The sequence below is a fragment of the Homo sapiens genome, chromosome 9, assembly GCF_000001405.40.
Source record: "Homo sapiens chromosome 9, GRCh38.p14 Primary Assembly".
NCBI lineage: Eukaryota > Metazoa > Chordata > Mammalia > Primates > Hominidae > Homo > Homo sapiens.
In genome coordinates, this window is record NC_000009.12 from 92,138,870 (window position 1) to 92,164,117 (window position 25,248).

Consider the following 25,248-nt stretch of genomic DNA (forward strand, 5'->3'; position numbering starts at 1 on the left):
TGGATTCAGAATCACAGCTCCAAATTGTTTGTCCTCTGCCTCATCACCCTGTACGCACCATGCTGTATGCAGTAGGGTTTATCCTGTTTCCCACTTCCCTTCTCCTGCCATCCCCAGCCTTCTCTACCTGCCAGAGCCCCCAGGGGCCACCCTCAGCCCCCACCAGGATGGAGGTGCCAGAGCTACCCTGTTACTCGGAAGGCAGGTGCTGGAGGCACCCCTCAGGCGGAGGTGCCAAGTTTTCCCTGCTCCTTCTCTGTCTCCTTCTTCCTCCCCTCTACATAAGAGGTGGGGGAGAAAGCAGGGAAGGCATATGGAGAAAGGAAAAACCAGGAGGAGCAGCAGAGACCAGAAAAGAGGGTGGGGAGGCAGCTGTCTGTCCCACACACTGTAGGACTGCACTGCATACCATGTGCATGATTGCTGGTGGCCACATGAGCTCCTGCCTGCTTCCCTGGTCAGGCTGGGAGTTTCCAGGTGCAGTGCCTGATGCTGGACACTAACTGCCCCTGGTGGAAGGCCCTGGGAGGACACAGAGAAAGCCTGGAAAGATCAGAGCAAGAGTCCCTGAAATGGAGTCGGGTCTCCCCAAGGGGAAGCGGGGAGAGCTCTTTGGCCAACCTGAGTTCCTACTAAGGTGCAACGGGTCAGAAGTCAGGAGGGTCCTTCTCAGGCCTGGTTGAAGAAGGGTACAGAGGTCGTGCTGGCTGCTCAGCCGGGAGCTTTCCCAGAACGAGACTAAAGCACTGGTGCCCTCCCAGGAGGACTAAATGCCGGTGTCCTCCATATGCCATGTTTATCAGGAGCTGAGGGTGGGCCCCCTAATGACCCTCACAAAAGCAGGCTGGAGGCTCTGCTCTGAGCTGCCCAAGTCTGTCTCAAGCAGCTGCTGCTGAGGTTGCAACAGGGCTCAACCATGGCTTTTCCACTCTGGGAAAATCTCACATTGGAGCAGCAGGAGCTGCAAATGAGATGGAGCCAAGGCTATGGTTGAGTGAAGGAAGTGCAGGCTGGCCTGTGGTAGCTTTCTGCCATAGGGCAAAGGTGGCTCTATCTGTGAGTCTTTCTGGTCATGTAGGCCCATCCTCTAGCCTTCTTAGGAGGCTCATCTTCTACTTTCAGCGCCATGGCACCAACGGGAGGCCTAGGGTCAGGGTCTGCTCATTTCTTGGTCCGGCTATGCAGCCCCTCTAGCCCTGGGAGGTTATCGGAGAGTGGAGAGGTGTTGATGAGAGGATTCTGGCATGTGGAAGGACAGGGTGGAAGAAATCCTGGATGCCTCTGAGGTCCCAGGTTTCTGGTATACCCTCTGGCTGGACCATGGGGAGACAGGGCAAAAAAGGAAGGAGGGGTGCCCACAGCCTGCTCTAGCTCTGCACTGGGGCTTGGCTCAGCATGGGAGAGACCAGAGACAGCAAGAGGCTGCGTGAAGGAAGCACAGCCAGCTCACTATGGTCTAAGGAGAGAACAGGGATTGGCCTCAGTTTTAACCACCGTGCCCTTTGCTCACCAGGGCTCTGGGGCCGGCCAGGTCAGCCAGTTGGTGGGATTCCAGCCTCAGGGTGGCCGAGCTGCAGGTGCAGCACCCGGCCTCCAGGTGGCGCCAATCTGCTTACTTTGAGGTGGCCTCTTGACAAGCAGCTGAGCTGCACGCAGTCCCTCAGCCTGCCGAGGTCCTGGGAGCAGGGATCAAGGTGGTCCCCGTAAACCTGACAGTAAACCTGACAGAGGCTGCAGGAGTGCATTTCCACCCAGGGTGCACTCAGCGAGTGGAACTCCACACCCGTTTCTTTGGAGTCAAGGCGCGACCTCTCAGGGAGGAGACTGCTCCTGGTTGCCCACTGCCGGGTCATCCCAGCTTGCAGTGGAACCCTCCGCAGCCTGGCCTCTTCCAGGGTAGCCCCTCACTCCCCTCTCTCTTGTCCTAGGATAAGGCCGAGGAGGGCTGACGAGTTCCAGCTCTGGGGATGCCCTATCAGCTGTGTCACCTTGAACAAATCATTTCTCCTCTTGGGTCTCTGTTTCCTCCAGTGTGAAACGTGGTGAAGGCATGAGGGGCTATGAGAGCCCCAAGGCCTCTTTCAGAGATCTCCTCTGGGTCCCATGTGACCCCGTGGCTATCCCCAAAGGCAAGAGGGTCCCCAGCCCTGCAGCCAAGGCCCTGGGACACCCTTTCTAAACAAGTGCAGGTCTCTGACGGGCTGAGCTTTGCTCGCTTGGGTTTCTTTGCTTTTTTCCTTTTTTTATCTTTCCTGAATGAAATTCCTGCCAGCTCCGAAGGAAGGAGGGAAGGGAGCTAGCCGCAGCGTAGAAAGTTTCCTTGACTCCTCCTCCGGCTGGGTCTCCCTCCCTTGCCAAGCCCAGCCTGTGAAACTGAATAACGAAGATCACTCAACAATGCCTGCTCCTCTCTGACTGCACCGCCCCGCCGCCGACGCCCAGTAGAGCCCCCGGGGCGGTCCCCACCGACGGCGCAGCCCGCCGGGACCGGGAGAAAGCAGCTGCGGACACCGCGCCCGTGCGTCTGCGCGCCTGGCCGCCAGGTGACCCAGCAGCCCGGCCGCCGAGATGCCCAACCCGCCCAGGCTCCGGGCGCTGTGACTTCGCGCCGCTGTGTGCGCCTCCCCGAGCGCCGGCTGCGCCCCCCAGCCCGGCCCGGGGCCTACCGCCTGCCCGGCCCCCTGCCACTGCCAGGAGGACGGCATCATGCTGTCTGCCGACTGCTCTTGAGCTTGGGCTGTCCGCCATACCGGGGGACCTGGATCCCCTGACGGCTTACCTGTGAGTACTGCCCGCCTGTCTCCACCTGGTACTGCGGGCTGCTGGCTTGCACCCAGTCCTGGCCTCAGCAGGACACCTGCTTGCTTGGTGCCCTGGGGCGTGGGCATCCCGGAGAGGGTTCACCCCCTTCCAAGTTGACCGTTGCGGGACTGGGGAGGGGAGAAGAGTCTGAGACTAAATATCAGGCGAGCAGGGAGACCAGGCTTCCCTGACTTGGCTTCCCCATTGGCCTCCGTGCTTGTGGGCTGACTGCGGGAGCCCAGGTTTGGCAAGGTGGGTTCTGGACCCTAAGCGGGAGGGCGCGGGGCTGGCTCCCCCATCTCCTGTTGCTGCATTCTCTTCCAGCAGAGCAGTGCCCAGGATGGTGGCTGAGGGTAAAGCTGACAGAACTGGAGGTGGAGGTGAGGGGAGCGTGCCCCAGTGGGGTGGAAATAATGTCTGTTCTTCTGCCATGGTGAGGACAACAGGGCTGTCACACTGAGGCTGGGTGGCCTTCTTTGGGGGGGGGGTCCCAGAAGCTGGGAGGGGGGCCTTATCCACTCTTGTCTCCTCAGAAAGGGACTCTGCCAGCACCATCTCCCTTTACTGGGGCCTCCCGGCTCCCCCAGGGGCCTCCCTAAAGTCATGTCCCAAGAGGCTGTGTTGGAGACACTAATTTGTGGGCAGGCGCGGAGGCTGAAAAGCGGAGAACCATTTTTAGCGTCTGAGTTGGGGTGAGATGGCCCGTGAAGGGGACCCTATTGGGGGCAGCTGTCCTGTCCGTCTGGCTCACAGGAGCTTCCCCTCAGAGCTGGAGGGCTGGGGGCTCTCGCTGCTTACCACATGGGCAGGAGGAGGGTGAGAGAGCACATTCCAGGCCACCTACCCGCACCCCCAGCCCCGCTCTGGGGAAAGGAGACCTCCTCCAGCCCAGCTCTGCAGGCTCCATCAACTTCCTCAGAGGAGCTGGGAGCAGGTGGGAAAGCCTGGGGCCTTCTGCTGAGGGCTAGGATCCCAGAGCTCCTTCTGGCCTGAGAGAGACCCCTCATGGCTTCTAGCATGTGGGAGTTCTAGCACGTGGGAGCTTAGAGGAAGAGGACGCTGGGCGAATCTTTATAGGGGCCTAGCAAGAATTTGTGGAACTAAAAGGATGCTCAGTGTTGGCAGTGTCCTGGTGGGAGGCAGAGGGTCCCAGATGGCAACTCTTCATGGGGCTCCTCTCCAAATGTCCCTGTCCCTAGGTTGGGATGTCCTCCTCCACTCCAAAAGGCACAGGCTGTGGGCCAGGTAAGGGAGTGAGAAGAGAAAAATAATGCCCATCTTCTAGAAGGACAAATGGAATCCTTCACAGTGCAGCAGGTGACGGCGGAGGCAGTCATGGGAATAAAGCTACCAACTGCACAGAGGCTGGGTGCTCAGCATCTGGCAAAGCAGGGCAGGCTCCGGCCCCAGCCCACACCCAGGCCAGCCCTGCTTTCAGCAGTTTTCTATCCTGGGAGTATGTGACATTGGTTCATTGGAAGACAGGGTCCTGTGGCTAAAGAGTTTAGATATGACTTCTGTGGAGCCTTTCTCTGGGTGAGCTGAAGGAAGGTCCCTTGCCTGGGTTGAAGGGGCAGGGGAGATAAGGCCTTCCAGAGCTTCCTTTCCCAGTGTTAAGTCTTCCTAGACTGATTAATGATCCTTTTTCTAGAAGGACCTGGGGTAGGAGGTACACTGTCACCTTTGGAATTCAAGCATCCTACCATCCATGCTGGCAGAAGATTTTCCCACTAACTTGTCACAATTCCCTGGGAGCTGTGAAGTCTGCATTTGGGTTCAGTGGAGGTGGGGTTTTCTGAGCTGGTCTGTGTCTTCCTGGGGATTGAGAAAGCCCCCCTCTCTCTCAAGACTCAGGGGATGCTTCTGAGAATGGCGGAGAGAAGAGAGGGAGTGGGAGCTAGAAAGAGTACGATGGGTCCTGAGGCAATGTGGGGAATTTAGCAGTGGGGTCTGGAATATTGGAAGGAGGTAGCAGAGGACCGTGTTCCCTGCCCTGGGCTGGGGAGGGGTCCCATCAGGATGGTGCATGAGGGATATCTACAGTTGTCCTGAGGGTGTCTCAGAGGAGGAATTTTCTTTCTTTGCCCTCTCTGGAGAACAGCTCTACCACAAAGGCACCTGAAGGTGGGGTTGAGGGCTGGCATGGAGAAGAGCCAGGGTGGGGAAGTCTTGGGGCTCCTTTCTCTTTTCAGCGATGTTAGGAGGTGCCCACCTTGGCCCTGCCCCATGTATCCCAGCCCTTGCTGAGGACAGCACAGATTCGCATCTGATGATATAACCAGCAGTGCCTCTCTCTGGGCCACTCAAACCTTGGTTCCTTCCTAGCTCTGCCACCTACTGAGAGTCACTCACTGAACACCTCTAAGCCTCAGGTTCTTGATGTGTACATGGAGAGGAGGAAGCATGTTGCTGAGAGGATTAAATGAGATAATATGTTCAGTGAAAGTCCCCACAGTGCCTGACACCCGAGGGTGACTCTGAAATGGTGGCTAGTATTATCATGCCTCCTGTGGGTGCTCCGTGGAGGTGGAGGTAAACTACCAGGCCTCTCCACACCAGAGGGAAATTGAGCCTAGTGGGTGAGTGTAGAATTCAAGGGAATTGTTTGTGGCTGGAGGAAGAGAGCTGTGTGCTTGGGGAGGTGACTGTCAGGGCAACTCTTGATCAATACTTGGCTGGTTCTGGGGACTTGGAGCCCAACCAGTTGGTGCAAATTGGGGGTTGGGGATCGGGAGGGAAGGTGGGGACTTAGATCCTCCTGACACAGAGTTGAGAATGAAAAATGTTAAAACACTTGGATATGCAGGAAGTAGCAGGCCAGAGAGGACTCGAAGATCCTTAGAAGGAGCCATAGACGGAACCATAGGAGGCGCCCAGGAGCTATGGGCTCCAGAAGGTACCCGCAAGTCCTCTTGCACATTCCTTGACCTGGTCTCAATAAAAATGACATCACATCTCTTCCCCCACTCCACGGCTGTGAGATTTTCTCTTTCTAGCCAATACCTTTCATGAAGTAGGTGCTTCCACCTCTCCATCTTTGTTCTAGGGAAGACCAGAAAGGCATCTTTATAGTCAACTGGTATTCTTTGCCTTGATACTCATGTCCAAAAACTATTACCACTTTTGGGCTCAATGCCAGGCCTGTTTGATCAAGGTTGGGAAGACACACTTCAGATACTCACAATCCTTCATATGTCTCTCTTTTTTCAACAGTTTCCTCCTAAACTGTGGTCTCAGCGAGGCTCATTGACACTCACCGGGGTTTCGACATTCTCCCTGGCTAGGGCCTGTTCTGGAAATAGACCAAGGGGGAGATGGAGCCCCTGGCCGTGGGACATCCAATCTGATGGTGATGAGAAGGCATGATGCCTCTTGTTCTATTCTTTTTTGTTTCTTCTTTTTTTTTAAATAAAAAAGACCAGTAATGTGCTGACTTCATAACAAGGTTTGAGGGAGGCACTTCTCACACGTGAGCATGAAAACCCAATCGTCACGCTTCTTAACTGCAAAAGGATCACCTCTTGTTCTATTGTATTGCATGTACACATGATGCACAGACAGGAATACACAGACAGCAAATAACTTGTTGGGCAGATAATCCCCGGAGTTGTTCCTGAGTAGAAAGATCTGGGTAGTTACTCTGGGCCCCCAAGGCTGAGCAGTGTCAGTAAACAGATGGTGCCAGAAAAGGTATCTCACGCAGCTAGTTGTGAAAGACGTCAGGCTCATGCACTTGCAGTCACACCTAAGCACCCATTTTCATAGCCCACTGCCACCAGGGCTGAGGGAGGGGCCGCTACACCATGCAACCCCCACTTCAGACTGCTGTTTGCTTTCTTGGGAATTATAACTTTAAGATTGCCTGTGATAACTGATAACCACTGGACTTGTTTGAAAGGTTAGATGGTGTGTGCATGTGTGTCTGTATGTGCGTGTGTGTCTGTGTGTGTCTGCGTGTTTCTCTGTGTGTGTGTAGATACAGGGTAATTTGCAGGGGATGTCTACAGCCAAAATGATGGAGGCAGGATGCTGGAGGCAGAGAGTAAGGGGTTGTGGCATTTGCCACAACAAAGCAGAGTTCAAACTATCACTTACTAGCTATGTAACCCCCAGCCAGTTGATTAGCCCTTCTGTGACTTAGTTTCCTCACCTGTAAACAGGGTTAAGATCTACCTCATAGGGTTGTTGTGTGGATTCACTTAGATGATGTTTGCAAAGGGTTTGGCATAATGTCTGGTACATGGGAAGAGCTCAATAAATGTTAGCCAGTGCTGTTATTAGGATAACCAGGGCGAAGAAATGTCAGTCATGGAAGTCTTCCTGGAGGAGGAAGTCCTGGAGCTAGCATGGGAGGGAGGGAAGCAGGCCTATTCTATGAAAGGTGTAGGATAGGTGTGTGTGTAGTTGCGGGCTGTGAGAGGTGCAAGAAGCTGCGAAGAAGATGGAATGAGCTCTGCTGGGAACCCAGAGTAATTTTAGGGTTTTTTTTTTTTGTTTTTTTTTTTTTTAGAATACAGTCTGAAAAACCAGGGAGGGGAGGGGAGCACCTGATGGAAGACGCCAGCGTGCTCCCTTACATGGTCTAGACGGGCCCCTGCAGGGGCTACAGATGAGGAGGCAGAGAAACAGGCGGCCTTAACAGGGGAGAGCCAGCCTTGGAGAGGATGTATTGTGAATTGGGGGTGGGGGTGCCAACGTGCCAGGTCTCATTTCTCACTTCCAAGGCCACCCTTCCCTGGCCCAGTCTTAGTCGCCCTTTCTAATAGATTCTAAGAGTTTGACTCCTCCTTCCGGAAACTTGGGGTTTGTGAGTTCTAATCTTCAGTCTCTCAGTTGCTATGAGACCCTGTGCAAGTCCCAAAACTTCCCTGGACCTCAATGTCCAGAGAAGCCATGTTTTGGATGAAAAACTAGAAAGTGGGAGAGGCAGGGCGCAATCCTCTTTGAGTCTCCTGCTCCTGGTGTGGGACAGAGAAAGCTCCCAGGGAGAGCTGCTCAGCTGCAGGCAGTGAGGGAAGGGAAGGAGGGAAGGGGAGGACCCAGGCAGCATCCAGACCAGGGTGGGGAAGAGAACTTATTCTTAAGCAACTTATTCTTAAGCAGCTTCCTGTTCTCTTAGCCTTGAACTTGAAGCCAGGAATAGGGACAGGGATAGAAGAGCCAAGGCTTGGAGCCGCTGGCCTATGCAGATGCACTTGCTTGTCCAGCAACAGTTGGACAGGGCCTGGCCTGGGCAATGTGCTCCGGGGTGCATGGAAAATGTGGTCATTCTTTGTCCGGGGGATTCTTCTTATTCCCTCCCATTTCTCTTTACAGAGAATTTTACACTTCCTTGCAGACACTGAATTATTGTGTTAAATTATTATAACTTAATAGCTTGTGAAATATACAAACAACAAGATTATGCCGACATGGCTGTTAGAAGACAAGACAAATTAGCAGACTCATGCTCATTTCTGTCATTGAACAATTCGTCTCATTCCTTCCTCAAGGCGCTGCCGTTTTCCTGCTCTCCGTCCGTGGGGGTGTTTGTTTACACATCTCTCGCAAGAAAAGCGCTTCTCTCTGGCTTCCCTCTGCCTCCCCCCCTCCTTCCTGCCCTCTCCCCTGCCTTCCCTTCCTCCTTCCTTCTCTCCCTCCCTCCTTTTCTCCCCGTTCCTTTCTTCCCTTCTCTCTGTCCTTCCCCCTTCCTTCCTTTACTGATGTAACAACCTTGGTGTGCCGTGGCTAAGCCACACTCCACCCCTGACCTGCGGGGGATGAGTCAAACGGTCAGACTTGCCTGGGCTTGTTCCACGCTCCCCTGGCTAGACAGGCGTCTACACATTCTCAGTTAGGGGCTGGACAGGGGCAGCTGCTAGACAGGTCCTATTCTGGGCCTCTCTGAGAAAAAGTGTCCCTGAAAAGAAAGGGAGCTCCCACTTCCATGGACCCTTAGCCATGCCAAGGGGCAGTACCGGCTTTCTGCTGGTGCTGATGAGCTGTGGTGTGAACTCACGAAGGTCAGCTGATTCACGGGCCCTGGATCTCTGCTCTCCTTCCGCTAAGTGGGACTCGGGCCAGCCTGCCATGAAGGAGGTAGCTGCTGCAGCTTTCAGGAAGGAACACCAGGTGTCAACCCCACCGGGTGGCCAACCCCACCTGGCTAGGACCCAGTCCCTGGTGGCTGCTCTCCCGAGAGGCGGGCAGGGCTGGGGCTAGGGGCTGTCCAGGAGTGTTCTGGACTGTCCCTTCGCCACAATTCCCACAGGCTGCTCAGGACCGAGGCTGAGACGGGCGACCAGGACGGGATTGTATGGCTGCAGGAGGCTACACAGTCCCAGGAGGCTGCTTCTAAGAGGCCCACGTGGCCTGCATGGGGATGCGCCTGGCTGTCCAGCATGTGGTCATTTGAATTGTACATGTTTCACTGGGATGCCTACAGAAAAGTAGACAGAAGATGTGGAAAAAGTTTTTGAAATGTTGCAAACTTAGCTACTTTTAAAATAAAAAAAATAGCTTTATAATTATAAAAGCAATATGTAAATCTTAAAATAATTTGCTACATTCTAGTAAGCATCTTATGATCTCTATGTGCCCTATAACATTATGTTGTATAGTTTAAATATATACAATAAAATCTATTTTAAAAAATAGCAGGCAATTAAATCTCATTTTAAAAAGAGTCAGTTTAACTCCCTTCTAATTTCTACCCCTCGTTTTCCCTCTGTGTGTGTGTATGTGTGTATGTCATCTTCGTTAAATGGCTCAATGCATTCCGAATATTTTTTCCGTTGTCTTCATGATATATTCATGGGAAGGGGAGTATGTGGCTTATTGCTGTTAGTTTATCAATAGAGAATGCTGGCCAAATGTCTTTAAGAGTAATGACGATCTCAATAGCGGTAATGACAGCTACCACTTTCGGAGCTCCTCCTGCCTACCAGGCACCACTGGGGTCCCTCTCTGCAGCCCCTCACGCCATCCTCCTAGTCACTTTCTGAGGTGTGTGTGGTCATCCTCCCATTTGCAGGAGGGCTCTGAAGCACAGGAAGGTTCGATACTTACCCCATGGCCGGGATAAGATGGGCCAGGGCCAGGCTGTGAACTAAGGCAGAGAAGGGGCTCTCCAGCACCTTTCCTGAGCCCTTGCCTCCTCTGCCTCTGCCCCATGGCCATCTGGTGGGTGGACACAGCTAAGCCATGGCTAGAACCCAGCATTCTCATGACTGCTTTAACCATAGAAAATCACAAGTTGCAAGCAACGGGACACACATTTACTTGTCTACATTAGCACTTGTGATGAAGATAATTCATGCTATTTTTTTCCCCATTCGGAACGTACCTGTCCTTAGAATAGTTAGAGAAGTTTTATGAGGATTGTGTAACTAGCATTAACTTAGGTCACCTAATTCTTGATCAACCAAATCGCAGGTCAAACAAAGGAGGCCTATGCCTTCATAGAAAGCATCAGTTAATGTCCATTTAAAAACTGATGCTGGCCGGGCCCGGTGGCTCATGCCTGTAATCCCAGCACTTTGGGAGGCCGAGGCGGGTGGATCACGAGCTCAGGAGATCGAGACCATCCTGGCTAACACGGTGAAAACCCATCTCTATTAAAAATACAAAAATTAGCTGGGCGTGGTGGCACATGCCTGTAATCCCAGCTACTTGGGAGGCTGAAGCAGGGAGAATTGCTTGAACTCTGGAGGTGAAGGTTACAGTGAACCAAGATCGTGTCATTTCACTACAGCCTGGGTGACAGAGCGAAAGTCTGTCTCAAAAAAAAAAAACAAACAAACTGATGTTGCATCTTCCAGTCTAAAATAAAAATACATTGTTAACCATTTTTATGTTTACAAAACCTACAGTTTTATAGTTCTAAAAGTAGTACATGTTCATTACTTTTTATTTATTTATTTATTTTTTGAGACAGAGTCTCACTCTGTGGCTGGAGTGCAGTGGCGCGATCAAGGCTCACTGCAAGCTCCGCCTCCCGGGTTTACGCCATTCTCCTGCCTCAGTCTCCCGAGTAGCTGAGATTACAGGCATGAGCCACCGCGCCCAGTCCATGTTCATTACTTTTTAAAGATCAGTCAATTAAAGCTAATTTTTAAGAAAGAATTAAGCTTATATATTCTTCCAATGTCTAACATCTATTTTCTTATAAGTGTGTCTTATTTCATGGAAATAATGCCTCATTTATTATTTTAGTAAGTTTTGGCAACCTAGTTAACTCAGTTCACTTGTCCAGTATGTCAAATCTTCATTTTACTCTGGGACCAACTGTGAAGACATCTGGAACCAAGGGGTGTGGTAGGGGTTATATGGCTCTGTTGTTTGTAGTTAGCTTTGCATTTTTGCTTCTTGATCATTAGATCAGAAACTAGACCTCATCTCATGAGTGCTTATGTATTGATTGATTATTTGGGTCAGTCAGGGTTGCTGACATTTGAAATGCATGCAGGGTAGGAATAAAATGGTTGTGATGCATTTGGTTAGCAAATAGCCCACTTTCCCAGGACTGATGAGAGGGACATTTGGAGGCTCATGACAGGCAGCATGATAGAGGGGAGTCAGCCTGGTCTCACCGGCAGGTCTTCAAAGCTCAGACTTTCGTGTCTGTGGAAGGCTGGGTTACACGATTTAACAAAAACAAACCTGAAGAGTCCTCTTGTCATTGGTAAGCTCCCATCCCCAGAAATCATCCAGTATATTTCTCTCTCCACACCTGGGAGACACTTTCGATTCATCTAGAAGTTTCTTGAATTGTTCTTTGGCTAGCAGCAATTTACTTTTCTTTTCCTTGTATTCTTCTTTTATTCTTGTCTTGACAAACTGTTCAAATATCTTAAAACACAGACACAGAAGAAAAACATCTGACATTTTGGTATCTTTCATCTGACCATCCATATCCAATGTTCTCATTTAAACATTACCCAGCATCATTGTTTATAATCAGAAACTCTGGTCCTCCTGTCTGGTGGCACTTAGAGTCTTTTGTGCCATAATGCAGCAGTATGGAGGGAGGATTTTATGGGGAAATGGGGATAGTCTTCATGACCACAAATAAATAAATAAAGGAAAACTAAGCTGCATTGTGGGTTTTGAAAAGGTTATTATACTTCTTAACAATTCTTTTTTTCAGGGACTTTTCTAGCAGTATGACTGTTACTTGACCTTCTTTTAAAAGCATTCCCAAAATGCTCTATTTTAGATAGATTAACATTAACCAACATAATTTTTTTTAGATCGAGTCAGCATAAATTTCTAAGTCAGCCTCTAGTCGTGTTTCATCTCTTTCACCTGCATTTTATTTGCTGTTTGTCTGAAGAAAGGAAAGAGGAAAGCAAATACGAATTGTACTATTTGTACCAAATCTTTGGGATTCATTGGCAAATAATTTCAGTGTGGTGTATTATTAAATAAAAAAAAAACTTTGTTTCCTAGGTTGAAGGTCTAATTGATACGTTTGACTTATGATGACCGTTTATGCACTTTCAAATGAATTTGCTTTCAAAATAAATGAAGAGCAGCTGTCCTTCTTTCCTCTTTTAAGTGTTCAGCTGTGGCATGCTCAGAGGTTCCTGCTGGATTCCAGCTGGAGCAGTGTGATACCCTTCTTTTTCAGCTGTTCGTGCCTTCCTTTCTTGTATCCACCAAAGTGGAGACAAAAACATGATCTCAAAGATACACAGTACCTACTTAATTCCAGCTGATGGGAGACCAAAGAATTTGCAAGTGGATGGTTTGGTATCACTGTAAATAAAAAGAGGGCCTGGGAATTCTTGCGATTCCAAAAAAAAAAAAAAAAGAAAAACATCATGAAATTGCATATTAGAAATGAAATCTTGTATTCCAAGCACAACATGAGAAAGCAGCAAGAATCTATGGCAAAAGCTGTTCTTGTTCACAGCTGCTGGAGTTATGAGCAATAGCCTTTCAGCATAGCTCTCAAGGATCCAAGCGGTCTGAATAATTAAACCTGGGTCCCCACACGGCCCGGCGTTTCTCTACATGCAGGTGCCATTTCTGGGTCAAATGTGAAACAGCCCTGCTGGAGAAACCCGGAGAATGACTTGGCTGCCCTCTCTGCAGGCGTCTGGAACCAAGTGGTGGTTTGGAACCTGTGCTGTAGGCTGCAGTGGTCCTCACTGTGGCCTCTGAGCAGCATCCGTCATGCGCGGCCTCCTCACTTTCTCATCACGGCCAGTGGCACCAGAACATAGTAGAGCACTTAGTTCATGCTAGTCACTTCCTAGGGTGACGTAATTGACATTCTCCCAAAATGAGTCTCCCAAAAATGACCTTAACTTGTGAAAAGAAAGTAAATTCTGCATCTCTGATCCCCACTTGTGAACCTGGGTGTCTGGCACCTTGGGGAGGACTCAGGGCGCATAAGCGGCCTCTTCTGAGGAGGTCACGGGATGCCAGGCTGCCTGGGTCATCAGTGTGGAAACAACTGGCCAGGAGGCCTGACCCTCAGGTACTGGGCACGCCCCTGTCTGACCAGAAATGCATCTCAAATGCTGCCCCAAACAGGAAAACCCTGTTCTTCAGTGGGAAGAACACGCACATCAGCCGGCAGGCAATTCTGGGCAAGTCTCCAGGGCACTTCTCCTGGAACCTGGCAGCCCACATAACGAGATGCAATCTCTTTGTGACAGGCCACAGAACCTCTTCTCTGTCAGAGTAAGATGGATCACTGTTCTAACAACTGAAAAACGGTCATTTATGGACTACAGAGTCAAAGAGGGACAAAGTTCTTTCATTCCTCATGCTACCCCAAACTCAAGAATGTTAAAAATAAACTGAAGATAAGTGCTTATGCAAACATAAATAAAAATATCAAGAGAAAGTCCACATAGGATCCTATAAGGCCAATAAATAGCAACTGTGCACCAATCCAACCAACTGCCAGGCCGATCCTAGAATGTGACCGAGGACCAAGCAGGCAGCTTCTTCTACACTCATGCCAAGTGAGTGGGGATGAGAAAGGAAGGGCAGGCAGGTGAAAGCCTCGACCCCAGCACTGCTCAGCCCCTTCTCCTGAGCAGCTCTCTTCCCACTTTTCTTATTGTTTCAGATTCCATGTCAGTAGTGGCAAACCTTTACAGGATTATGAATACAAAATGCCACTGGTCTCCTGAAGATACAGCAGCAAAATGAAACATCCACAAATATGACTTAAATTGAGAATATGTGCATGTCTATGTAAGTAAGAATATGATTGGCTTCTTTTTTTTTTCCTTTCTTTCTTTTTTTTTTTTTTTGAGGCAGAGTCTTGCTCTATTGCCCAGGCTGGAGTGCAATGGCATGATCTTGGCTTACTGCAACCTCTGCCTCCTGGGTTCAAGCAGTTCTCCTGCCTCAGCCTCCCAAGTTGCTGGGACTATAGGTGTGTGCCACCATGCCCAGCTAATTTTTTTTGTATTTTTAGTAGAGACAGGGTTTCACCATGTTGGCCAGCCTGGTTGCGAACTCCTGACCTCAGGTGATCCACCCGCCTCAGCCTTACAAAGTGCTGGGATTACAGGTGTAAGCCACCATGCCAGGCCATAATTGGCTTCTTATACCTTCAAGGCAAATAGCAATGTAAGTTCTTAGTTATCTTATATTTAACTAATAAAAAATGAATGCAGGGTTATTATCCAAATAAAAGCATGTGGCTCCATCATTAGCTAGAGTTTTGCTCTATTAATTTTAGACCTAGAGAGAAAGCCTGGCTGGCTGTGGGGTCAGGGCTCTTCAGAAATGCCTGCTTCTCTCTCTGCCTAGAACCGTTTCTCCATCTCATCAAATGCTTCTCTCTTTCCTCTCCCTTTGCTCTGTTACTTTATTTTATGCTGCTATAATTTAACATCGCAGGTTTTGTTTTTCATCCTTAACAAATTATACCAGCTTTATCCAAAGTGGAGCATGACTTTTTAAAAGAGATTCCATTGGCTATTATATCATTGCTGTATGTTCTACCGCAATAAAACAAAACACTATTTGTTGCCATAGAAACAGGCCTGATTCACACTGCCTTGACCCTGATTCTGTGTAGGATCACCCTCTTCTCCTGTGCAGCTCATCCAGCAGAGGAAGGGCTGTGATTTTCACACCAGGGGCCTTAGCTTTCCCCATGAAAACGCTGTATGACACTAGGTCCTGTACAGATTCTATGTCTGATACTTCTAACCCAATTTCTTCCTAAATAGGACTGTGGTCTTTGGATGGGGTCCAGCTATGATTTCTTTCCATCCCACTCCTCATACGAGCTGCCATGCTCCCCTTTGATGAGGTTGCAGGCACTTCTTCTGAGCACTCTCTGGACCCTCCAGTGCACTGGCTACGGCGTGGCCTGCTTCCTCCTCTTTCCCACTGGACCTTCTGGGACCAAGTTGCAGGACGTTAGGACAGGCCCACAGTTTCCTCTGGGTGATCTCACGGGGACCTTTAAAGGTTTTCCCCAGGCAATAGGTACTTAGCATGAGCTATATTCTCATCTCATCTATTTGCAGAGGACCCACCCAGGCAAGGCCAGGGCATCCCAGCCCAGGCAGGCCCAACCCCATCAGGGCTGGCATCTGTGGTCTCTGACGATGGCCTGAGGAAGGTCCAGCCTCACAGTGCTCCCTTTGATGAGCCCTGGGTGGGATGCCCACGTCCCCCAGACATCAGGGGACCAGCCCTGCCCTGCCCATGAACCACTTCCAACCAGCAAGCAGACTGGGCCCCTGTGTTCCCAGCTGTTCTAAGAGATGTGCCTTAGCATTTAAACTAGAATATTTGGAAGGGGCTTGATCATAAATTGTAATTTTCTTTTTGTGGTGAGGATGATCTTACTTATTCAATGTTTTTTAAAGGGACTAACAGCCTCAAAAGGTATCTATGGCACAGAGAGAGAACAACTGGCAACAGCAAACAAGTCGGTGGTGGCACACGTGGCACGTGCCACGCACACCACACACAACCCACACACCACACACAGCACACATGCCCCACACACCACACACACCCCAGATGTACTGATGATTTTAGACACTGCCCGGTTTATGGCTCCTGCCTCTGTCCTCCAGTGATTCTGTCACATAAAAACACAGGCTCCTTGTTATGCTTTTTCACAGCCGATTTTTTTTTTTTTTGAGATGGAGTTTTGCTCTTATTGCCCAGGCTGGAGTGCAGTGGCGTGATCTCAGCTCACTGCAACCTGTGCCTCCCGGGTTCAAGTGATTCTCCTGCCTCAGCCTCCTGAGTAACTGGGATTACAAGCAAGCACCACTACACTTGGCTAATTTTTGGCATTTTTAGTAAAGACAGCGTTTTGCCATGTTGTCCAGGCTGGTCTGGAACTCCTGACCTCAGGTGATCCGCCCACCTCGGCCTCCAAAAGGGCTGGGATTACAGGCATGAGCCATCGTGCCCAGCCCATAGCTGAAATTTTTGATTTTTAAAATTGCAAAAAAGGGCGAAATATGACCAGTTATTAATGTCTATGGTTTTCCTTTGCTATAGGAAAAATATATATAACACCCAAACTCAGCTAACTCTATTGTAGCATTATTTTGAGGCTGTGATAACACATTTTGCATATTTTAAAATATTTCTTTATAGAAAATGAAACTCAGCTAGAAGACAATAAAATATTATTAATTCCAAGTTCTTGCAAGGTTCAAGTTCTGTATTCCAAGGCAGTCAATCCTGGGAACACGTCACACTGCCCAGCCTACCCCTGAGCCTGCACCAGCGAGAGGGTACAGTTCCAACGAGCGGAGTGGTGGGTCGAGGGCTCGGAATGGGAGTGAGGACAGAGCGGGAGTTGGTTACAACGAGCAACGCGGGTCCATATGACTGAGACTCTGTGGGTTCGCGCTTCACTGACACCATCTCAGGCATTTGCTTAAAGGGACTTTATGAGCAGAGGACAGAATTGAAAATAAAATGGCAATTCCCATACCCTCCATCTGGGGCTTTATCAGACTCTGCTGGTGTGAGAAATCCAGTGGACACCAACATGGGGGCCCCTGGTCACAGAACCCCTCCTCCCCTAATTAACTCTGGCTCTTCTGTTTTCAGCGGCTCTTCTTGATAGCTCACCTTCCACGTGCATCATTTCTGAACTCAAAGGGCAAAGAGAGGGCAAGATGTGGCCGCACACATGGAGTCTAACTGGGGCAGGGAAGTCCGGACCTTCCAGAGTCTATCTCAGGGCCCTTCTCAGACACGCTCCACGGGCCACACAAACCCAGGCTGTGCCCGCTGATGCTGTCAGACCATCGGTCCCTCTCCCAGCAACAACAGGCCCCTCCTGTGAGCCAACACCATCTGTCCCTCTGTTTGATACGGAAAGCAGTGTTGGCTCAGGGACCTACTTTGTGAAAAGCTAGGGCAGACCCCTGGCAAGTCTCTCCTTAAAATAGCCCCCGGAGAACCCCCTCTAATCAATTCCGTGTTTTGTGGGCGGTGTTTTGTAGAACTCCACCCTTCACTGTGCTGCGGTTGTTCTCTGGACCACTCCTATTTCATCAGTGTTATTGTCAACCTGAAGAACAAGCAGAAAGAGGCTCTCTGAAATGAAATGGATGCTTATTTGGGAAGAGAGCATTGCAACGGGAATACACATGCCATCGTAAATGACAAGAATATTCAGGGAGGTAAAAAAAAAGACAATAATTTTTAAGGAAAAATAAATGAGAGGATTAAATCATTGTTTTGAAATAATTATCTTTGGCTACAGAGATCCATACCAGGACAAAGCCAGTCTGAGGTTGGACAGGCAGTTGTTGGGCAGGTGTCCTTGCAGAAGTGCTTTTTGTGTGTATAAGGTTGTGATGAGCCAGGTGCGGTGGCTCACGCCTATAATCCCAACACTTTCGGAGCCCAAGGTGGAAGGATTGCTTGAGCCCAGGAGTTCAAGATGAGCCTGGGGAATATACAGCAACCAAATCTCTACAAAAAGTACAAAAATTAGCCAGGCGTGGTGGCTGGTGCCTGTAGTCCCAGCTACTCAGGAGGCTGAGGTGGGAGGATGGCTTGAGCCCAGGAAGTGGAGGTTGCAGTGAGCCAAGATTGCACCACTGTACTCCAGCCTGGGCAACAGAGCCAGATCCTGTCTAAAATAAAATGAAATAAAATAAAATAAAATAAAAGGTTTTTACGGCCTTGTGTGCAAGACTGTGGTTCTCGTAGAGTCTTTTTAGTTATCAGGTATACAAGTATGAGAACCCTCTCTTCATGGCCTTCCTCCATTCTATTTGTTAGGGGTTTCTTAACATTAGTGACTTCATTTTGATTCTGACAACTTTCATATTACATAAGACTTTAAGCATATAAAACCTTAAGGTCTTATGTAAGACCACCTATTTCACTATCTTTATATAATACCTGAAGTATTTCGTATTTTTAACATATGATTTATAGTCATTTGGAATGAGGGTTAATGTTCCTAAAATTTACATGTTCATCTTTAAAAGTATTTGTCTTCCAGGGTCATAACCAAATACTGAGGTAAGAATAATGACCAGAATAACCTTCCTCAGTCCCTCTAACTCTGCTTACAAGCTCGCAAGCTACAGTACTGGAGCTGTAACTCCTCCCCACTGGCCAAATTTACAACATGGGTGTCTGTTATTCAGCAATGAAAAGCTCCCCAGATCCAGGATGCAACAGTCGCTTTCATGCTGCGTCTCTGCAGTCAAAGTGCCTTCCCACCCCGTTACCTGCTTTCGTTCCTCAGAGTTGAGCAGGAGATAGCGTGGGTCAAACACGATTTTGTGTAATTCTTTCTCCCAGGTAGAAAATGCTGATACCTAAAGAAAGATATTCAATAGAGTGGCTGTTAGCATCTAATGCTAAGCCTGAAGCTGCACTGAAATGATCCACAGTTAAAAACAAGTGAACAACAAAAACCATCATTAAAGTACAATAGATTCAGTGATGTGGTGCAGTATAAGTGTTAGACATGTCAGACGTTCCAAGAAAATCAATACCTAGAACATCAGAAAATTTAATTTCTAGACTTGTGACTATTTCTTTCTTGGGTATCTTTCAGGGCTGTCTCTCCCGATCTGAAACCCCAATTATACCTGTGAAGGCATGGCATTCTGGAACACCCCATTTCAAAAGGAGAAATTATATTTGTAAAAATTTTCAGAACCCCTACAGACCATAACAAAGAGTAATGTCTTGAAAACAGGCTGAGTTTAGTTGATTTGTAATCAAAGTTTAACCTCTTTTAGGTAGGTCATTTTTAAAATAAATTATTTTGTTTGCAATAGTTTTACATGTACTAAAAATTTGCAAGAATATTACAGAAAGTTATCATATACTCATACCCAATTTCTCACGTTGTTAACATATTAGTAGGCTAGATTCGTCACCACTAACACTGATACATTATTACTAACAATAGTCTGCATTTATTCAGATTTCTTTAGGTTTTACCCAATTTTCTGTTTTTGCCCAGGACCCCATCACATTTGGCTGCCATATCTCCTTGGACTCCTCTTGGCTGTGACAGGGTCTCAGACGGCCCTTGCCGTTGATGACCTTGATGGTTTGAAGAGCCCTAATCAGGTGCATTGCAGGACGCTCCTCAGTTGGGATTTGTCTGAGGCTTTCCTCGTAAATAGCCTGGGGTTATGGGTTTTGGGAGGAAGACCACACAGATAAATGCCATTCTCATCATGTCATAACAAGGGTACACACGCTGCTGACATGACTCTTCACTGACAGTGGTGGCTGTAGTCGGCTGGCTGAGGTCTCCCCACTGTGAAGTCCCCCTCTCCATGCTGTACTCTCTGGAAGGACGTCGCCATGCACAGCCGACACTTAGGGGTATGGGTTGTGCTCCACTTCCGAGGAGGAGAAGTAGCTACATGAGTGACTGGGAAATGTCCTGGGGGGGATACTCATCCATGCCTCCACATTACTTATGTACTCAATCTTTTATTTATATTGCTATGGACTCATGGATACTCAGCCCATGCTCGGGCTGGACTCCAGTGTGACTTTGCTTCTTTTCCTGCTCAGCTTCTTCGAGGTTGGCCTTGGTGAGCTCCCGTGGTGGGTTCCCAGCTCCTGTGTGCCTCTGACAGGTGCTCATCACTTGGCTTTTTGGGCATCTCCTTAATTTCTGCTACTAAAGATGCTCCTGGCTTATCTTCTGCATGTCCTGCCTTTGCCCTTGAATCAGTCAATTCTCCAAGAAGCTCTGGCTCCTTTCCTAGAACAGTGTTAGAAACCAAGATCTGGGCACTGGTGTGTTCATTGCTAGTGAGGTGTTGTTGCTTCTAGACTCTCTCAGCTGATAGAGCAAGGGAATGTTTAAGCCATTTAGAACATAAATGCATTCATTTAAAAACATGGACTATGTATTCACTGTGCCTTGGGCCCCAAGCTGGGTGTTGAGGATCTTGAGAAAATAAATCAAGGAAGCCCATGGTCTAGGGTAGTGCTGGTGAGGAGATAACAGACTCTTGAGATGGCACTAGGGCCATGGCGGAGACAGACCTGGACACTAGTGGGACCCAGCAAAGACCCACAGCAGCCTGGGGAGGCGGCTTCCAGAGTGCTGCGACTTTGGAACATGAATACTCCTGAGGGTTCACAAACGAGCCTGGGGGGTATTCCAGGACCAGCTGGTAGGGGGGCAAAGGTTGGGTCATGAACTATGGGGAATGCAAGAATTGCAAGAGGTTGAACATGCCTGGGGGTGCAGAGACAGAGGCTGAGGTGCAGGGCAGTCTGAGACATGGTTAGGAGCCTGGGCATTCTCTTGAGAGACAGGGGAGAAGAAAATTCAGATGGAGCGTTCATTTCAGGAAGGCCACCCTGGGATCTGGGCAGGAGATGAATACCTGGCAGGGTCAGGGAAGGGAAGGTAATTGAAAGTTTACAAAAACAAAACCCCATTCACATTCTTAAAGTATTCTTCATAGAGGTACTATTTCAATAAACACATGCTTTATTTGTATATTATAACAGATGAATTTTCTTCACTGGCAATTTCTATCTTTAACTGTCAAATTTAAGCCTTTTCTGTAATACCCATGAGCTCTTTTATTGGGTGGGATGACCCAGGGTCCAGCCAGGGATTCTCCTCCACAGAGTGAGAACACGGTGAAGCATAGCTGGGACTCAGGGCGAGGTGGCGATTCAGGGGGGTTTCCAGGCAGAATGGATCCGTTTAGCTTCGACTGAGTGCACCTGCCCCCAGGAGCGGGTCTCCAGGCAGAATGGATCCCTTTAGCTTTGACTAGTGCACCTGCCCCCGGGAGCATCTGGGGCTGTTAGAGAAGCTGTGGGCAGCCTCCACTCAGCCCAATCAGATGGCACACACCCACCTCATGGGGACCTGTGCACAGCTGGATGGTCCCAGCTCTGCAGGGAGAGAGGATTAGACCCTGTGTGGCATAACGACACCAGTTTCTGGAAAATGTTGGAGTTCTAGAAGTATAATAAAATAATTTTTCAATTAATGATGTGTAGTTTTTGCCCCCGAAGGGATTTATAATCTCTATAGAAGGTCAGATAAGCCATCTCTACAATGATTACAACTCATAATGATAAAACCAACTGTGTCATGTCAGGGACAGTTCAGGGAAGGGTGAGAGCACAGTGGCTGGGACCCAGGATGGAGGTGGGGGCTGAAGTGAAGGCTGCACAGCCATGTGTGAAACAGGGTCTTTCCCTGACCTCCAGGTGGGCGCAGGACTTCTCCCAAAGGGTCCTGACAGCTATGGGGACGAGGAGTCCTATGAACTGCTCCTGAGGGAAGCCCGTCGTTCCCGAGCCTGTGTGAAACACTTATGATGCCCAGAGAGTACATTCCATGGGGCCACGATTGCACACGTGTGTGTGACTATACACACACACATAAGCACACACACCACACATACAAACATTCACAGAGGCGCATGTACACATGCAAACACATGAACACACCCAGGACACGCTAAGATATGCATACACAGGCACACATGTACATAGTTGCACAAATGCATACATATGTACAAAGATGCACACATTGATACACACATGCACATGTGTGCCTACACACACACACACACACACACACACACACAGTACCACTACCACCACCAAGGAAGTCCAACATTGTAGAACAACCAGGGGAAGAAAGCCCGTCAACTGAGTAGACAGCAAGCTGCGTATCTCTTTTAAGTCCGTCTATGTCGTGGGACTGTTCTGTAAGTGGCCGTGGACAAACCCAGCTCTCCCTGTTTCTGGCTGGTACCTCTCCAGAATGACTGGAATGCACTGGGAATGCAACAGACTGAGAACAATCAGGCTTTGTTTGGGCCCCGCCCCAGAAACAAGACATCCTTCAAGCTTTAGCCCAGCATTCACAGGACCCCAGGGTATAAAACCCACTGCGGGCTGCTTTCTGGGATCCCTTGGTTACAGCAAAGGGTAGATGCGACTCCGTCCCCTCCTTGCAGCTTTCCTGGGCCTGGGGGACTGGCTTACAAGCACCTTCATCTTCTACCACCCTTGCTTCCTGTCTGCGGGGAATAAACGCACTTCAGATGATTTGCTGCTCATCTTCTACCACCCTTGCTTCCTGTCTGCAGGGAATAAACCCACATTCCCTGCCCTCCAGCACTGAATAGTATCCGTGGAGGACTAGTGGAGAATAAAGAATTTTGCTGTTGCCCAGAGATGACCAGGCCACCCCCACGTCCTGTATTGTCTGTGGAGGTCACATGCGGCCAGTAAGGAGGAATGTCTACCTCTCCCAGGCATCGGGGTATCAATGGGCACCCCAATGGGGAGCCAGGATTGCTATCCTCACCTATGCTGTAATAAAGGCCCCCCTGTGTGTATTGATGGAGCTCAAGTGGAAAGATGGATTATACCCTCACCGAACAGTACCAAAGTGTCTTCTCCTTCACCTGCTGGAGGGATGCCAGCTAAAACCAGCCAGAACAGAAGATTCAGATCATACACAGAATCTCATAATATCCCGAATGACCAGATTGCAATAGAAAAATCACTCATATGAAGAAAGCAGAATACTTCAAAGCAAATTAAAACACAAAATCAGTAGATGTTGAAATTGAGATGACAGTGATGCTAGAATTATCTGACAAAGATTTTAAGTCAGCCATCATCAAAAATGTGTTTCCATTTATGCAATTGTGGACAGATTTAAGCAAATGAAAAAAAAAAAAACCCAGAAAATTGCTGCAAATAAACAGCAGATTTATAAAAGAAACAAAAAGAAATGTTAGGGCTAAAACATACAATAACAAAATGAAACACTAAACCACAGAACAGGGGGGCAGAGGGAATAATCAGATGATACTGCACCTGGAAGACTGTTTGCCACTTGAATATAGAACAATAAAATTACCCAATCTAAATAATAGTCAGAAAATAGACCAAACAAATGAACAGAGCTTCAGGGATGTAGAACAATAAAATTACTCAACCTATAGTCAGAAAATACACACACACACACACACACACACACACACACACACACACACACACACAAAATGAACAGAGCTTCAGGGCCTGTAGGACAATAAGAAAAGTTCTAAAGTTTGTGTCAACAGTCCTGGAAGAGAAGAAGGGAGAGGGTGGGTGCGGAAAGTACACAAAGAAAGAGTGTCTGAACACTTCCCAAATTTGGCAAAGGACAAAACTATAGATTCAAGAAGCTGAGCAAATCTTAAATGGGATAAATGGAAAGAAATCCACATTAAGACACATTATAGTCAAACTTATGAAATGCACATATCATAGTAAAAGTATAAAGACTAGAGACAACAAAAATATTTTAAAAGCAGCGAGAGCCAGACATGGTGGCTCACACCTGTAATCCCAGCACTTTGAGAGGCACAGGCAGGTGGATCACCTGAGGTCAGGGGTTCAAGACCAGCCTGGCCAACATGGTGAAACCCCGTCTCTACTAAAAATACAAAAATTAGCAGATTCTTCATCAGAAGCCATAAGGCCCTAAGGAAATGGTTGGACAGTTTTCAAGTACTGAATGGAAAGAAACATCAACCCAGAATCCTATGCCCAGCAAAATATACCCTTCAGGAATGAAGAGAAAATTAGAACGTTCGAAGACAATAGAAAACTAAGAGAAAGTATTGCCAATAGATTCCTTCAAAAGAATGGTTAAAGGAAGTTCTCTAGACAAACAGTAAGCAATAAAAGAAGGAATCTTGGGACACTAGGAAAGAAGATAAAAACCTTGGTTTTTCCACAACCCTTTACTGTAACCCAGACATTCTTTTCTGTTGATTCCAGCTCTTTAGATAATAACCAATTGCTAATTAGAAAATCTTTGAATCTGCTATGACCAGGAAGCCTCTGCTTCCGGTTGTCCTGCCTTTCCAGACTGAACCAATGTATATCTTACATATATTGTTTGATGTCTTATTTCTTCCTAAAAGACATAGTTTATAAACCAATTTGTAGGCTGACTACCATGGGCACATGTCATCAGGGCCTCCTGAGGCTTGTCACAGGCATGTCCTTAGCTTTGGCAAAATAAACTCCCAAATTAATTGAGACTAGGCTCAGGTACTTTTGGTTTATAGTTTTCTCAGTAGAGGGTGCTTGGAGAACACTGCAAGGAGAAACGGGCTGTCCTGCTGCTTCTGGGGCCATAAAGTTGAGAAGTGGTATGAGGTGGGTGCTCTGCCCAGTCATGTGCCCAGAGGGGAGTCACTCAGTGACCTCAGAGCCTGGCCTGTCTCTTGCCCTCTGGACATAGACACAGCACTCACTATTCCTCCAGTCCCGCTAATGCATTCACTTCCTTTGCTCACCTGCACCCCACCTGCACTGCAGAGGGTTGCCATTGGCACCTTCCTCCCTCTGAAAACCTGCATGCCGGGTTTCCTGCACCCCGAAGTTGCTTCCTGCCTGCCCAACTAGCAACTGAGGGCCAACTCGCCTGGGAAAATCAGCAAATGTCTCTACCTCCCAGTGGGTTGCAACTGTACCTTCTCCAGTGAGGTCTGAACCTCAGACTTGGGGAGGGGTCCCCCTTTCAAGCTTGTCCTTCTTTGAGTACTCTACCTCAGTCCAAAAGTACTACAGAGTTTTATTATATATTATAGTTACTCTTTTCTTTTAAATAAATTTTTAATTTTAGAAAAGCTTTAGATTTACAGAAAAGTTGCAAAGACAGTACAGATTGTTCCAATATACTCTACATCCTATGTCTGCCATTGTTTACATCTTACATTACCAACGTACGTTAGTCATAGCTAATGAACCAACATTGGTATTATTATAGTTTACTATTAGCTAAACTCTGTATCTAATTAAAATTTCATTAGCTTTTCCCCAATGTTCTTTTTCTGTTCCAGGATCCCATTCAAGATACTACATTAAATTTACTCATGTCTGAAAAAAATGTCTGTGTCCTAACTCCCAGAACCTGTCAAAATGTTAGGTTACATGGCAAAAAGGAACTACAATTTCAGATGAAATTAAGGC

At 48.2% G+C, this 25,248-nt stretch overlaps 1 long non-coding RNA gene and 1 other non-coding gene across 2 annotated transcripts, besides 7 other annotated features; one reads left to right on the forward strand and one right to left on the reverse strand.

The window, feature by feature from the left end:
* Window positions 1,145-1,724: an enhancer, noted in NCBI's record as "H3K4me1 hESC enhancer chr9:94902296-94902875 (GRCh37/hg19 assembly coordinates)". NCBI's record gives its function as "activates a minimal SCP1, AML or CMV promoter by ChIP-STARR-seq in naive H9 embryonic stem cells {active_cell/tissue: H9 hESC(naive)}" and the evidence as "EXISTENCE:reporter gene assay evidence [ECO:0000049][PMID:30033119]".
* Window positions 2,304-2,883: an enhancer, noted in NCBI's record as "H3K27ac-H3K4me1 hESC enhancer chr9:94903455-94904034 (GRCh37/hg19 assembly coordinates)". NCBI's record gives its function as "activates a minimal SCP1, AML or CMV promoter by ChIP-STARR-seq in naive H9 embryonic stem cells {active_cell/tissue: H9 hESC(naive)}" and the evidence as "EXISTENCE:reporter gene assay evidence [ECO:0000049][PMID:30033119]".
* Window positions 2,448-2,627: a silencer, noted in NCBI's record as "silent region_20029". NCBI's record gives its function as "represses an Ori minimal core promoter by ATAC-STARR-seq in GM12878 lymphoblastoid cells {active_cell/tissue: GM12878}" and the evidence as "EXISTENCE:reporter gene assay evidence [ECO:0000049][PMID:35858748]".
* LINC00475 (long intergenic non-protein coding RNA 475) lies at window positions 2,598-20,739 on the forward strand. Its single transcript, NR_027341.1, has 4 exons — window positions 2,598-2,781; window positions 13,868-13,995; window positions 17,241-17,420; window positions 19,232-20,739. It is a non-coding gene; the product is annotated as a long intergenic non-protein coding RNA 475 (long non-coding RNA).
* Window positions 2,884-3,462: an enhancer, noted in NCBI's record as "H3K27ac-H3K4me1 hESC enhancer chr9:94904035-94904613 (GRCh37/hg19 assembly coordinates)". NCBI's record gives its function as "activates a minimal SCP1, AML or CMV promoter by ChIP-STARR-seq in naive H9 embryonic stem cells {active_cell/tissue: H9 hESC(naive)}" and the evidence as "EXISTENCE:reporter gene assay evidence [ECO:0000049][PMID:30033119]".
* On the reverse strand, window positions 6,214-6,317 carry LOC124902345 (small nucleolar RNA U13). The gene has a single exon (XR_007061921.1). It is a non-coding gene; the product is annotated as a small nucleolar RNA U13 (small nucleolar RNA).
* Window positions 8,205-9,404: an enhancer, noted in NCBI's record as "MED14-independent group 3 enhancer chr9:94909356-94910555 (GRCh37/hg19 assembly coordinates)". NCBI's record gives its function as "activates an origin of replication core promoter dependent on BRD2, BRD4, P300/CBP and CDK7 cofactors, and independent of MED14, by STARR-seq in HCT116 cells {active_cell/tissue: HCT116}" and the evidence as "EXISTENCE:reporter gene assay evidence [ECO:0000049][PMID:35650434]".
* Window positions 8,398-8,692: an enhancer, noted in NCBI's record as "tiled region #423; HepG2 Activating non-DNase unmatched - State 22:ReprW, and K562 Activating DNase unmatched - State 1:Tss". NCBI's record gives its function as "activates a minimal TATA promoter and a strong SV40 promoter by Sharpr-MPRA in HepG2 and K562 cells {active_cell/tissue: HepG2 | K562}" and the evidence as "EXISTENCE:reporter gene assay evidence [ECO:0000049][PMID:27701403]".
* Window positions 8,497-8,696: an enhancer, noted in NCBI's record as "active region_28591". NCBI's record gives its function as "activates an Ori minimal core promoter by ATAC-STARR-seq in GM12878 lymphoblastoid cells {active_cell/tissue: GM12878}" and the evidence as "EXISTENCE:reporter gene assay evidence [ECO:0000049][PMID:35858748]".
* Window positions 20,740-25,248: the final 4,509 nt, after the last annotated feature.